This window comes from Homo sapiens, chromosome 13 (assembly GCF_000001405.40).
Source record: "Homo sapiens chromosome 13, GRCh38.p14 Primary Assembly".
Classification (NCBI taxonomy): Eukaryota; Metazoa; Chordata; class Mammalia; order Primates; family Hominidae; genus Homo; species Homo sapiens.
Window position 1 is genome coordinate 28,217,653 of NC_000013.11, and position 14,256 is coordinate 28,231,908.

The 14,256-nt window shown below is 33.7% G+C and overlaps 1 protein-coding gene across 14 annotated transcripts in view; it reads left to right on the forward strand.

Moving 5' to 3' along the window:
* Window positions 1-14,256, forward strand: part of PAN3 (poly(A) specific ribonuclease subunit PAN3) — a 157,143-nt gene that overhangs the window by 79,460 nt on the left and 63,427 nt on the right. For 12 of the 14 annotated variants that reach the window (XR_941549.3, XM_011535034.4, NM_175854.8 and 9 more), the window contains one exon: window positions 2,579-2,726. The exons of 1 other annotated variant lie outside the window; for it this stretch is intronic. Coding sequence is in view for 11 of the 13 variants with exons in the window: in XM_011535034.4 (XP_011533336.1) it covers window positions 2,579-2,726 (148 nt within the window). In the remaining 2 variants the exon portion in view is untranslated. Of the gene's footprint in view, window positions 1-2,578; window positions 2,727-14,256 lie in introns of those variants that run through there. One more of the 14 variants, XM_047430252.1, reaches the window with a different exon arrangement.

The window sequence follows — 14,256 nt, forward strand, 5'->3', positions numbered from 1 at the left end:
GAACATTAATTTTTTTAAAATGTCCACTTAGAACTATTTAAAATATAAACGTAAATTAGGGTTTTAATTATGAATATAAATGAGTGCATATCTGTATATTTTACAGAAACCAAAAATTTAATATTATAGAGAAATATCTGTCTTTAGGAAAGGATTATTCAAACATAGGTCAGGGATAGTAAAACTTTAGTTTTTTTTATTTCTATTTTTCTTATTTATCCCAAACTCCTTATTGTTGTTGAAGTTATAATTTATATAACTCAAGTTCTTATGTCATCTAATCCTAGATAAAACCTTTGCCTCCTACACCTGAAAGAAATAGGTTCTTTTCTCAACAGGTATTTCATTTTAATGTGATACTTGTTCTAGTTACCAGTTTAGCCTTATCTTTCAAAAAATTATTCTTAACATGTTAAAAATATATACCTATGCTATTTTTAATAGATTTTATAGTTTTAAAAAAAGATTTATATTTTAAACCAGTAGAAGTTTTAAGAATGCATCTTTATTGTTACATGTTATTTTAAAGATTTTTATCATGAAAAAGTATTCTAGGTAAGGTCTTAATTTCTGATTTTTAATTTAAATGTATCTGATCATTTTCTGATCTGGCTACAATTAATTTATATTATCTATTAAAGATCTTTTTTGTGTGCTGTTGTACCTGAATCTTACATAATTATTTTTTCTGCCATTTAAATTATTTTATCTTTAATCTCAAGTGCTCACAGTTGAACAAAACAAACTCTCAAATCACCAAATCAAGGAATACTAAATCAAGAAAGGAAGGAGAGTTTTAGGTCATCATTTTCAGTTCTTAATTCAGATTCATTGTTGAGTAGGTTTTGGCATCCGTGGTTATTGAATCTGTAGAAGTTACAGTGTTGTATGTAACTCTTAATAGTTAGGTTAATTTTAATAACTTCCACTCGTACATATTTGGAGGTCCTTTATAATTTGTTATGAAAGGTAGAATGGACCTTCCCCTCTTTTTTCCCCTTTACAGGGTCTCAAAAATAATAAAAATACTCTTTCAAAATAATAAGGTTAGAGAAACTCATTTTTGAAATTAGTCTGTTATTTACTGTAATTATAGGATATATGTGAAATAGAAACTGGGTAATACCTGTTTCTCAGGAACACACTAAAAGTATTCATATTGTGTATTATTTTCCTTATGTAATTTTGCTGTCTCCTGGTAATCTTGCGTAATCCTGAAGTCCACGTCTCTAGGCATTTTGGACTATTTTATCAAGATATCAATGGCTTTTATCTTGACCCTCAACTTCTAAGATTTAGGTTTAACTGGGACATACCGGCCCTGACATACTTTTCATTCTGTTGGTAGCCATTTGTTCCCTTATAACTAGGAAGGTACTACGTTAGTAAAATGCAGTGGCTGGTTTTCTTCTCCAGAAATCAAGGAATTGGCCATCTGTTTAGAGAACATGCCACTGTTTTCGGGAATGTTATAGTTGGAAATTTTTTAAAAACACATTTAAGTCACAAAAGAGGATTTTTTTCCCCTTTGGAAAATATAGCCTCAGACCTGATTATACTTTTTCAGAAATTCATGCCTTAGATGTGGCAGTAAAAGATTGATTCTGTAGTTCTAGTGTATTTTAATTAAGCCCAGATTTAGCATTTGTTCTATATTTTATCACTTTTTATTTAACTTTAGCTGGCACATAACTGATAATACTCGTTTTGGAGTTTACATTTGGGTTAGCCTGGTGACTTGTTACCTTCCAGATCTAGTATTTTGAACTCTTAACTCATTCAAATTAAATAGGGAAGTTGTTCTTTCTGCCTCCTGTGGAAATTTAATGTGGGCAATATTATATAGACTTTTTATGAATCTTATGTATAGTCTCATATGTTCTAGTATTTCTTAAAGCTAAAAATAGCATGCCACTTGAATATATAAAGAGTTGTAGCATAGTACCACTGTGAAAAAGGTGTTTTCCGTGTAATCTCATAGCCAAATATTTTTCAGTGTAACAAGTCACGCATGGTACTGCATGGGCATTAGGATCGCTTTAGTTTTTCTTATATCTTGATTCCTCCCATATTTGCCGTGTTTTTAAATGTTTCTCTAACCTTTACTTTGTTACTTAAATACATGATACCATATTATTAGGGAAATGTTTGAAGTACCTACAAAAAAGAAAGTGATTAATTTTGGAAGAAAGGCAGTTTTGACCTTTATCTTGGTAGAAGTGGTTTAAAGATACTAAACTTGAAATTTGTTGCTCAGTTTTGAGGTAATCTCAACCTCCCAGTTCTCTAAAACTTAGTAGTTTGGTAATGATGCATGCTTGATAATAAAGACAAATTTTACACATTACTGAGGTTAAAATTCTGCAAATGAAATGATTAAAGTCTTCAAATTTGATGATCAGATTTCCTTTAAGAAATATAATTATGACACACCAAAATATGGAACCGAAAACACTTGTTAATCCTTTCAATAATATATTTTACTTAGTAAATAAAGCACTGTGGAATATGCCTAGTAGATTCAATGTCTTTTTTCGGCTTAAAGTGTGTTAACTTACTATATTTGATTTTTAAATAGACACCAAATCCTACTGCAAGCGAGTTTATTCCTAAAGGAGGATCAACCTCCAGGCTGAGTAACGTGTCCCAGTCAAATATGTCTGCCTTCTCTCAAGTTTTCTCTCACCCATCCATGGGAAGCCCTGCTACTGCTGGATTAGCGCCAGGTAAGTTGAGTAACTATTTCCAGTGAGTTCCAGATACCATGTCTGTAAGCACCATTTACTATTAATTTATCAGAACTGAAATTGTATACTTGAATGATTCACATTTGAACATTAAGAGCTTTATGTTCTAGTTTTTGGTACCATAGGCCAAATGTGTAGTTGAGAATTTTAAAGCAAAATTTAAATATGAATGAAATTACATATAAGAATTTTTATATATAAAACTCACAAAAAAATTTAAAGGGGAAATGGTTATTTAGGAAAAAATCTATCTTTTTGTATTTCTCTATTTTTAAAACTTTGTGCTGTTTCACTCAAACTTACAAAGGCATCAGAAAGAACGTGAATATTTATGTACATATGCCTCAGAGTCCTCCTTTTACATTAAATTTCTAAAAAATAATTTAATCATTCTACATCTTTAGATGGTATTCCCTTTCAGATATTTGATTATAAATGCTATAGTAGTAATTTTAAATTGGGTAAAGTATTATAAACAGTAGTAGGAAAAAAATATACTACATGAGGGATCATTGCAGTAGAGAAAAACACTTTTTAGTTATCTTCTGCCCATAATGTACCCATAAAGTGTACCCATAATGACAGAACAATTTGGGCAAATGTGCTTGTACTCCAGGAGTCCTGAAGGCATAGTTCAATGTGACCCTTTGAGAAATCTATGATTCTTTGCAGTCTTCATTTTTATCTTAAGAATTCATGCAGATTTTGCATCTGCTACTCCATAATGTTTATTTTAGTATAAAAATATTTAAATTTTTAAAATTAACATCACTTATCCCCACTGCTGTATACCTTGATTTGGAAAGTAAGGTGGTATGCACAATCACATTGAATTCATAGTAAGTGCTGAGCAGATTGGTATCTTATGTTTGTCGAATGTTTGAGTTGCACACACAAATTAGGCTTCTAGAACCTATACAGGAAAATCATCACTTGGTCTTGGACATTAAAAAAAAAAACAGAAATAAAATGAAATATATACACACACTAAAACAAAGCCAAAGGATATATCTAGATCAGCCAGGAACTGGTACTGTCTCCAGGGCTTAATCTAATTAGTAAGTAAATCGTTGATTTAAATACTCATATATCTAATTCAAGGACCTCTTTGGGAAGAAAAATGGGAGAAGATAAAGATAACACAGTGGCGCAGAGCATCTGTTTTAGCATTAAAGTATCAGAGTACTCAGAGCTTAATAACCTTGTGTTGCTAAGGATTTTGTCAGCGCCTCATTTCCCCACCATTCTTTCTCTTACTACCTGTCTCCCTTCCAACTCCCCTCCCACCACTTGTTCCCTTACCTTTTCTTCTACTTTGGTTTTTTTCCAGGTTCAGTTAAATTTGTAAGCATTTTCCTTTCTTCCCTAGAGAGCAGTGTCAGAATTGAATATCTCTGGTAGCCTTAAAGTTTTATTGTAAGTAATATACTACTATGATTTTTCTCTTGTTGAGGTGTGTTCACATTGTTTACATGAGCATAATCTGCAAATGAGCTACACATCTTAAAATTTCTTAGGCATTGTCTAGACTTCTGAGCAGTGTTGTAATTCAACTTTATATGTCTCTTTCCAAAGCATCCGCAATAATGGGATCCATATAGCAATCAGAAAACTTTGGCCTTAATTACATGCCAGTTTATTTTGCCCTAACAATACTTCCTTCCTCGTATCAGAAATAAACATTTTGTTAACTTATTTCATGAAACTAATTTAGACATGCCATTCAAAAAAAATTAGCCTTTTCAATTGGAGGAGTTAAAAATATTAAAGGGAATTTTAAATTTAAAAACATTCAGTTTAAGAAAATCCATTAATGCTTATGGTATAGGTATAAGCTTATTTGGAGGTAGGTATATTCATTGGTCCCAATTGGACCTCACAATAGAAACTTAGGGTGAAATTAATTAATTTAAAAATTAAATTAGCTGAAAATCTATTCTTCTACATAGCCCTAGCATTAAATGGTTATTCTAGCTCCTCTTAACAATGAAAGTGATCACTCTCTGGAACCATTGGAAATAGGTCATTATATCATATGAAATGTATTCTTGAATTCTAATGACTATTATTTTAAAAGTGCTCTTCATTCAGATGACAACTCAGTTAAAATATTTTTCAACAATGATGAATTATTTTGCATTAATTATTTTTTCTGTTTGGTTATTGGTTTAACACTCTGGAGATGAGCAAAGAAAAAATATTTAAGTCTGCCTTTCGGAAAAACCATTGTACTCTCAGTGTCTTCCATCATTTCTTACCTACAAATGTTGTTTTGTTTAAGGAAGGGTTCTTGACATTTGCCGTGTAAGGTTATAGAATAAATAAAGAGTTTATTTACCTACGGTAGTGGTGATTTAGTTTATTTTTAATTCTTACTGTCTATTATAGGTGTAACTCATTGATTTTAGTTACAAGTTTTTAATTTAAAGTTTCTATCCCCAAAACTATTGCCCTCGAAAGTATCAAATTACTATAAAATATGAAACCTTAAATACTTTGACACTTATGTAAACTAGGGTAACATCATTTTCATTACGTATGGGAAAGTACATATCTAAATATATTTTTGACCAAATATATTTGTCAAAATTTTTAGGCCAGTTTATTTTGTCCCAATATTTGAGCAAAGTTGAGTGGATATTAAGAGTGGGTTTCCTCAAATTATGAGGAACAAAGGCATAATGCCTGGCACAAAGGAGACCCTGAGTGAATCACATTGCTTTTTAAAAATTTGTTTTGATCACTTAAGAAAAAATAAGTCATGTTTTTGGTATATGTCTCAATGTAAGAAATAAAACTTTATACAAATATTTGAATTTACTCACAGCTAATTAGGTTTTTAAAAAGCGTTAAAATTTGTGACATGTATTTCTATCAAATTGTATACACACTCATTTTTTAATTTAAGGAATCAAGGATTTATAGATACAGTTTTGTTATGCATATTGAACCTATGAACAATAGCTACATTTCTAAGTATCTTTTGTGAAGTTAGTTGTTTTAATGATACTAAAGATATGGCACTTGGGCTTGTCTTTAAGAATCCCTCCAGTTATGCATATTTTTATTTATAAATAGACATTTTTCTCTGGCAACAGCTTTTATTATTCTCTCAGAGGTTCACAGCCTTCCAAAATTTAAGAACCACTGTTTTTTTTTTTGTTTTTTGTTTTTTGTTTTTGAGACGGAGTTTTGCTCTTGTTGCCCAGGCTGGAGTGCAGTGGCGCGATCTCTGCTCACTGCAACCTCCACCTCCTGGAGAACCACTGATTTAACACAACTTAAGACTAATTTCCAGAGTGTTATACAGTAAGAATACTTTTAAGTAACACATAGCCTAAAGATACATTTTTCTAGTAGCTCTGGCTTAGGCAGAGGGTTTTTTTGACTAGATCTCTGGAAACGAAGTTATGAATGTGCTTAATATATGAAATAATAGTTTATACTTTAATTTTTGTGCCATGAAAAGTGATTTTTTTTTTTTTTTTTTTTTTTTTTTGAGACAGAGTCTCTCTCTGTCTCCCAGGCTGGAGTGCGTGGCTCATTCCAAGCTCGGCCTGCCAGGTTCACGCCATTCTCCTGCCTCAGCCTCGCGAGTAGCTGGGACTACAGGCGCCCGCCACCGCGCCCGGCTAATTTTTTTTTGTATTTTTAGTAGAGACAGGGTTTCACCATGTTAGCCAGGATGGTCTCGATCTCCTGACTTCGTGGTCTGCCCGCCTCGGCCTCCCAAAGTGCTGGGATTACAGGCGTGAGCAACCGCGCCCGGCCAAAAAGTAATTTTATCGTGAGAACTAATTGCTGAATGTCCTTTTTCATCAGAATTTTCCCGAGTATTTTTAATAGTAGACATAGTTAACTAAGTCTTCGTGTACTTTAGGTTTAATTACCTCAGTGTTAACAAATTTACAGTGTCACAGTGTGTTTGAAAGTGACTGTAAGTGCAGCAGGAGCAGCACACATTTCTGCATGGTGTTCTTGTGTATCATTTGGTGGTTTAGTGCACAGTTGTGTCTCAGGAATTGAGCATCTCTCCTTCTGCTTAATTATCATGTGTGGGCCCTTAGGAGGGGCAGAGATGAGTTCTTATATTTGCAAATGTCATCATTAATTTATAAATGAGAAAATGAGTCACAGTGATTTTCAGCATTTGTCAATATTCATTCCTTCAAGATGAAAATAGTGCAGTTTTTTTTTAATCATTAGATATGTTTTCTTGTAAATTATTATTACTTTAGAGAGAGTGTCTCACTCTGTCGTCCATCCTGGAATGCAGTGGCATGACCGTAGCTCACTGCAGCCTCCAGTTCCAGCTCCGGCGCAAGCAATTCTCCCACCTCAAACTCCTGAGTAGCTGGGACTACAGATACATGCCAAGTTAAAAAATTCTTTTTAAATTTTTTTTGTAGAGACGAGTTCTCACTATATTTTCCAGGCTGGTCTCAAACTAGCCTCAAGTGATCCTTTCTCCTCAGTCTTTCAAAGTGCTAGAATTATAGGGGTGAGCCACCTCACTCAGCCTTTGTTGCATATTATTAAGGCAAACTCATATGATTGATATGGGGAGAATCATCTAATTATTATACCAAAATTAGCATTATTAAATAATTGTATTCATTTATTACCAAGTTTATTTATTGTAGGCTTTTGGGAAAATAAATCCAAAGAAAATTATGTTCTTACATCCAGTTTTTTAAAAATACGGAAAAGTCATTTCTTATATATTCCTGAGGTTATGGTGCCAAATTGGTGGGTAAAATTGGCTAATACCCTTTTTTTAAATAAACATTTTTAGCTTGAGAAATATGTGAGGGAAAAAGGGAAGGGAAAGAAAAAGGGGAAATTAATATTTGTCGTTCTTGTTCAGAAATATCAAAACTTTTTATGAACGTTGTAGACTAAAAATAGTTATTTACTCTTATAATGTTGAAGGGTTGGGATAAGCAGATCGTTTTCAGTTTAAAGTTCTGTGCCAAAAAACAAAATTCCGTGATTGATTATCTCTATGGCATTTCATATCATAGATGAGCAAATGGAGGTATTAGGTATTTAAATTACATAGTAGTTGGATTAGGCAATAACATGATATTGGTTATTGATTTAAGTGGAACCTTTGGGATTTACATAGTCCAGCCTTGCGCCAATCTAGAGGTGGCATTTCTGACAGATTGTCATCTAGTCTCTGCTTAGTCATTTACAGTAATATAAGGAATTCATTAACTAACCAAGGCAGCCAGCCCAGTGTACATTTTAACAATTTGAATACAAAAGAAAACTCAGTCTTCTGCTAAACCAAAGTCTTGTCTCTCTTCCATCCACTTGTCCTAGTCCTCTCCTTTTTTGCTGAATGGGAAAAAAAAACTTTCCTATATGATAGTTCTTTTAGTTATTTTATTCTTCAGACTAGTTCTGTGTGTGTCCATATAACTGATTTATTTGTAAGACAGACAAGGTGGCGTCAGGCAACCGGGGAGAAGTATTATTCAGTTCAACGAATTGTATAGGTCCAAAATTGTGAACTCTTGTAAGTCATAAGGAATAGAACACTAGTGTGGGTAAAATTAAATCCACAGATATGTCTACCTAGCTATATTACTACTTTGGTATCCAGCTAAGGAGTGTACCATTGGGAAAACAGGAAACTCTTTGGAAACTGTTCTTTTTTTGGGGAAACAGGATGAATCTATGGTCTTGAAGATGGTGAATATCTAAGCTCAGACTTTAAATTTCATTGTGCGTTTTAGGGCTCTACGTTAAGTCTTTCAAGGCACAAAAACTCCATAAGCGATTGCTTTAGATTATTTTGTGTTTACTAAGTGATATAATTATTAAAAATAAAAATTGTAACCATATTTATATGGTTCTTAAATATCACCAGTTTTAATAAACATAACAGATTTTCCTTGTAATTGTTTCTCAGAAGTCTACTGTTAAATGGATTCTGTGGGATAGTCAAATAATTACAGCTCAAATTAATTTGATTTCTGTCTAAATTGAATTCTTCAAATTAGTTTTGTACTTAATATCAATAATGGTAGTTTGGCATTAAAGTATCCTTCTAATTAATTAATTAGATTTCCTAAACATCTCACAAATTGCTTAAGAAGAAGGGACCATGCCATTTCTCATCTAGTACAAATTTAGGTATAAATGGTGTTTAATAAATGCTTACTCAATAGATAAGGCTTAATTTTTGTCTTGGAAAATAATTTTGTAATTGTTAGGTATCTCTTAAGTACAGTGAATTTTAATTAATAAACATCTTTGAAGAACTTCTAAAAACTGCAAATGTTCAAGAATATGCAGGTGAATAGTCAAATGAGGAACAGAAATGTGCCTGGTGAAAAAGTTTAACAGCATCAAAACTAGACACTGTGTTTTGAGATGCTGAAGCACTCTTATAACCAATTAAAGTATTTGTATTTTTAAATTGCATGTTTCCATTCTTTGTAACTACTTTGTTTTTCAGGTATATTCAGCAGATTCATTCAAATCTTTCCAAGTTATTTAGTTTGGAGATTGCTTTCTTCATTAAAAAACAAGTAAATTAACAACTATTTTATGATTAAGATGAGGGATCTCAAGGTTTTTGTGAAGTGGACCTTTTAATTGCCCTGTAATGAGGAGCTCATCCTAGAAGGAAGCTCCTCTGTGTATGCATGTGTAAGGACACAGATTGTGATGCCCCTGGGAAATTTACTAACAGTAGAACTGTAGAATCATAACAGGGTTGGGAGTGCCTGCTGGCTATATTCCCTTCTCAGTTGGGAATTTCAGGAAACTGAGGCGAGACGTTTATGGCGCAGAGAGGGATGTGGCTGCTGCAGCTGGCTTGGAGACCTGTCAGGTAAGGCTTAAATAGCTACCAGTAGATAATATTCTACTGGTTGTGGAATCCCTGGTTAATGGGTCCTCATAGGTATAAGAGTTCCTCTTGTGAACTTCCTGTTTAAATCTCATTGAATTGGCTATTTTGTCCCATAATTAGGGGGTAGGGGCTGGATGGGAGTGGGTAGGGATTTCCTTTAACTACGAGTTACCGATCCAGTGATCTACAGCTGCAGCAAAGTCTCTTGCTGCTCTTGGACTGCTTTCAGTGTATTATGACTCGATTGCCTTTAGAACATGGTACCAGTTCTACTGAAGCAGCTATGTGATTTTCAGCATACCGCTTGGTTTCTGTGTTTTAGAGTCTTCAGTTCTATAAGAAGGTAATAGTAGATGATTTTAAGTCTTTCTAATCTAAAATTCTGTGTTTTTGAGACATGGAAATCTGTAGAAGCATAGAGGACAGTAAAGAGACAGAAATGAAGACAGTGGTGCGAAGTAGTAAAAAGGGAAGGATAACATTTGTACTAGACTTAAGAAAGATTTTAGAAGGCATATGGACTTCTTGACTTATTCTGTGTAAATAGAAAATCTTCCCATGGCTCCCTTTGTTTCATAGGTGGAGATGAGGGGAGTTTTGTTTCAGCAAATGTAAGATTAGAGTCTGGGGTGAATCAGAGTATTGTATTTGTTCTGGATGAACTGAGAAGCAGAGAGAACAGGTGTAAATGAATGCCCGAGAATGTTTCCGATCTGTTTCATAGCTGAACGTGGAGAGTTAGATGTCGATCTTCCTTCCACCTTCTTCTTTAGTCAAGTAGGTTGAGAGCACCAGGGATCATTTTTTCTTCAACCTTTTAGCTCAGTGATACCCAGAGCAATGTGCCTACTCAGTGGAGAAGATAGTATTTGTGTGAATAAATTTACTGTTCTGTGTGTTACATGTCTAGTTAGGAGTGGTCCTCTAATTCTGTAGGAATGAATCAGATGGTTGTAGCCCCTTCTGTTTCTTGAATTATCCTTTGATTCTTCTCAGCTTGACCATGAAATTCATCTTTTTCTTATTCTTACTGCCTTTCAGATGTAGTTACTCTAGAGTAGGGCATGTAGGTAGGGTCTTAGTAAAAGGAGAGGAATTATAGATGTGGCCTTTTTCAAACCCCCAATGCATATAGGCATGTAAATCCTACTCATAAATGCCTGCAACAACCTAGATGTGGATTGCATATTTATTATGGTAATAATGTTTAGTTCTAAATTTTTCAGTCACGAATCTCTTACATATTGATATGTCTGAAATAAGATGTTTTCTTAGGATTTCATAAGCACTTTTCTATATTTTACATGTGGTTGTCTAGATTTTAGCATGGTATCCCTATACATAGTAACTAATAACTAGTAGTCATTTGGTGGGGGTACCTTTGAGAAAACAGTAAAATTAACAGTAAACAATAACATTAAGATTAAATATATTAACATCCTATTGATGTTAATTAGTATTGGTGTAAAGGGTGTCAGTGTATTCATCAGCTGCTCTCTCCGCCATAGTTAATATGCTGCTCTCTCAGCCATAGTTAATATAGGTCATAATCTTATTGCTCACTGTGTGCGAGGTGGTGTAAGTTAAACTGCCCAAACAAATAGATCCAAAATGTAATGACATGGCTTAATATGACAAAAATGTATTTCTTGCTTTTGTAACACTCCAAGGCAGGTGTTCAGGTTGGCTAGGATGCTCTTCACATAGCTTATAAGGGACACAGGGGAAGAGCTTCTCAGCATCTCTCAAGTGAGCTAGAAAGGAAGGGGAAGAGCATGAAGGAGCAAGAATGGGAAGATGGGATGACCCAAGCCTGGAAGTTTCTCCTATGATGACTTTTGACTAAAATCTGGACTTAAACTATTTTAAGCAGCTTGGCTACATTTCCCAGCCTCCTTTAGAAGCAAAAGTTTTTAACAGTTGATCCTGGTTATCTCATGAATATACATTTGAGATATTTTCTCATTTGCATCTTTTGTAATGACTTTAAAAATATCACCAAAGCAGCTGCAATAACTGATTTATCTAGCGTCAGGGGAAATGAATCTTTCCAGCATACTTGAATTTTTTGGGTATCAGAAGCTTACAGTTTTAATTGTCAGAACTTTATATTTTCCAAAATTTTTCCATAGTACTCTCTGGCTTAAAACAAAATATAATCTTATTTATTGATGACTCTTGTTCAACTATATGTGCCTCAGTAATTGTATTGAACCAGAATACACTGACTCTTTACATATCCAAGTTTGTAGAGGAGTTTATTTCAAGTTATGTGATTACTTAGATTTGTTATTCTTTCCACTGGTCTTCTGCTCCAATGAATTAGTTATAACTTTTTGAAGGTAAGGTCTTTCTCTTGCTTCTGAGTCTCTTAAAGTGCCTGAAAGTAGTGCCTTGAATGGCCATAATCTGGCAAGCTTACTTTGATCATTTTTTTTGTTTTTATTGGCTTTTTTATTGGTAATTCTGTTGTGCTGTTTGTGACAGTGATTCTCAAATTTCAGTCTACCAGAATCACCTAGAGGCTTGTTAAACTCCAGCATTTGCGTGGTTCCATCCCCAGAGTTTCTGATTTAGTAGCTCTGGGTGAACCAGGGAAGATTTGCTTTTCTGATGTGTTCCCAGGTGTTGCTGATGCTGCTGCTTGTCCTGGGACTTCATTTTGAGAATGACTGCTCGATTTAGAACTTTTGTCATTCTTATCTCCTCTTTCCTCTTAATCTCCCTTTCTCATCCTCCTCCTAATCTGCTGAGAGCTAAGAACACAAAGATATCTTTTAGTACCTCTTTTTTTTTTTCTTTTTTTTTAAATGAGAAAAAGGCTTTGAGTCAAGGACTTGAATTGTTTCCTGTGAATAAGGTACATGAGCTTTATATTATCCTTTGGCTGAGGCTAGTATCACTTCATTTCTGGTTAATGTCTGTGTTCTGAATAACTAGAGTTATTGTTGAATTCATGAATATAGGAGTTGCCGATGCTTAGTCATGAATAAATCTGGGAAACGGATTCCTTCCACCTTGGTAATGTTAGTGAGACAAAATATAAATTAGTTACTATAACTTTTAGTTTTTCAAAATACTTAGGAAATGAGTAGCATAAGTACTGTGGCTGTTTAAAATATAAAACCCTCAAGCAGAGTTCCATGGATGGAAAAAAAAAACAACCCTATGGTTCTGGAACTAGTAATCAGATATCTTTTATTTACATGTTACACTTTAATATGTATGTTTTTAAATTGTTACAAAAAAATCAACTAAATTGTTCACATGAGAACATGTCCTGGCAAAAAAAGAAAGAGAAAATAAGAGAAAACAACTAAATTGTTGTTAATGTTAGATAAATAAGAGGCACTTATTGATTCAACCACAGTTTTCTGGAGATCAACTTTAATTTTTGTTTGTACTTTGGTGGTAGCTTTTTTCATTGGAAAGAAATCCAAAATTAAAATTACATTGTTAACTAAATCTTACTTTTTTGTGTGAATTTTTGTAATTAATTTTCATAAGACACTCTTGTCTTTAAGTTTCTTGTTTGTAAACAACACAACACAATTTATCACTATGAATGAAGGACACCATTTACTCAAACAGTCACTACCACTCAAGAAGAAAAAAATGGTTCTTTTCAACCAAAACAGTTATATTTAGTAGCTAACACCTTTCTTCCCTCTGTTTTGATGCTTCGTTTAAGTAAGTGTTATTATTTAAAAGATTGCCACCATTGTAGAGTCTAGGGAGATCCCATCATTTTAGATCATTTGGCCAAGTTTGGGGACAAGCAGGTAGGTTACTGTTTTGTTTCTTCAAACATAGAGACCGAAGTAAGTAACCTACTATTATAGGCCAGTGGGTAAGATTCCTACTAGTATAGTTAAAACCCTGATGCTGGTTTTTTAAAATATGTTGAATTATTCATGTTTTTGGGATTTAGGCACTGCACTTTATACAATCAATAGTCTAATGATATTTGTTAAATTAATTAATGACAGTTCATCTAGAAATGACACCATTAATACAGGCAAGACTGAAGTTATGTCAAAGGGAAGATTACTATGTGTAGACCAGGAAAACAAAGTAGTTGTGCAGGCTGTGATCTCTATCAAATATTGAGGACTGTGTGTTTGATAAAGCTCAGGTTAAATTCATCATATAAATTGACATTATGTGCCTGAGTTTGGTCAATAAGATTAAATACATTTTATGAGAAAGCTTTAAGGTACTTAATTATTTTGTTAATGCTTACAGTATTTCTAATACCAGATAGTCTTAAGTATCTATCATAGATAGATATTCAGCCAAAATGAAGTAGGATTATATAAATTAGTTGATGAAATTCTGTAGTTATTAAGGGGAAAATCAGAGATGGAAATTAAGTTGCAATTATTTGGGTTAGATCCACATGGCCTCTATTAAAGGTGATTTACATGTAAAAATAAGTCTAGGCAACACAGCATGACCTGGTCTCAAAACAAATAAACAACAACCATAGGCAGGTATGGTGGCACACACCTGTAGTCCCAGCTACTTGGGAGCTTGAGGCGGGAGGATTGATTGAGCTCAGGAGTTCAAGGCTGGAGTGAGCTATGATCACACAATTGATCTCCAGCCTGGGCAGCACAGTGAGACCCTGTCTCTGAAAAT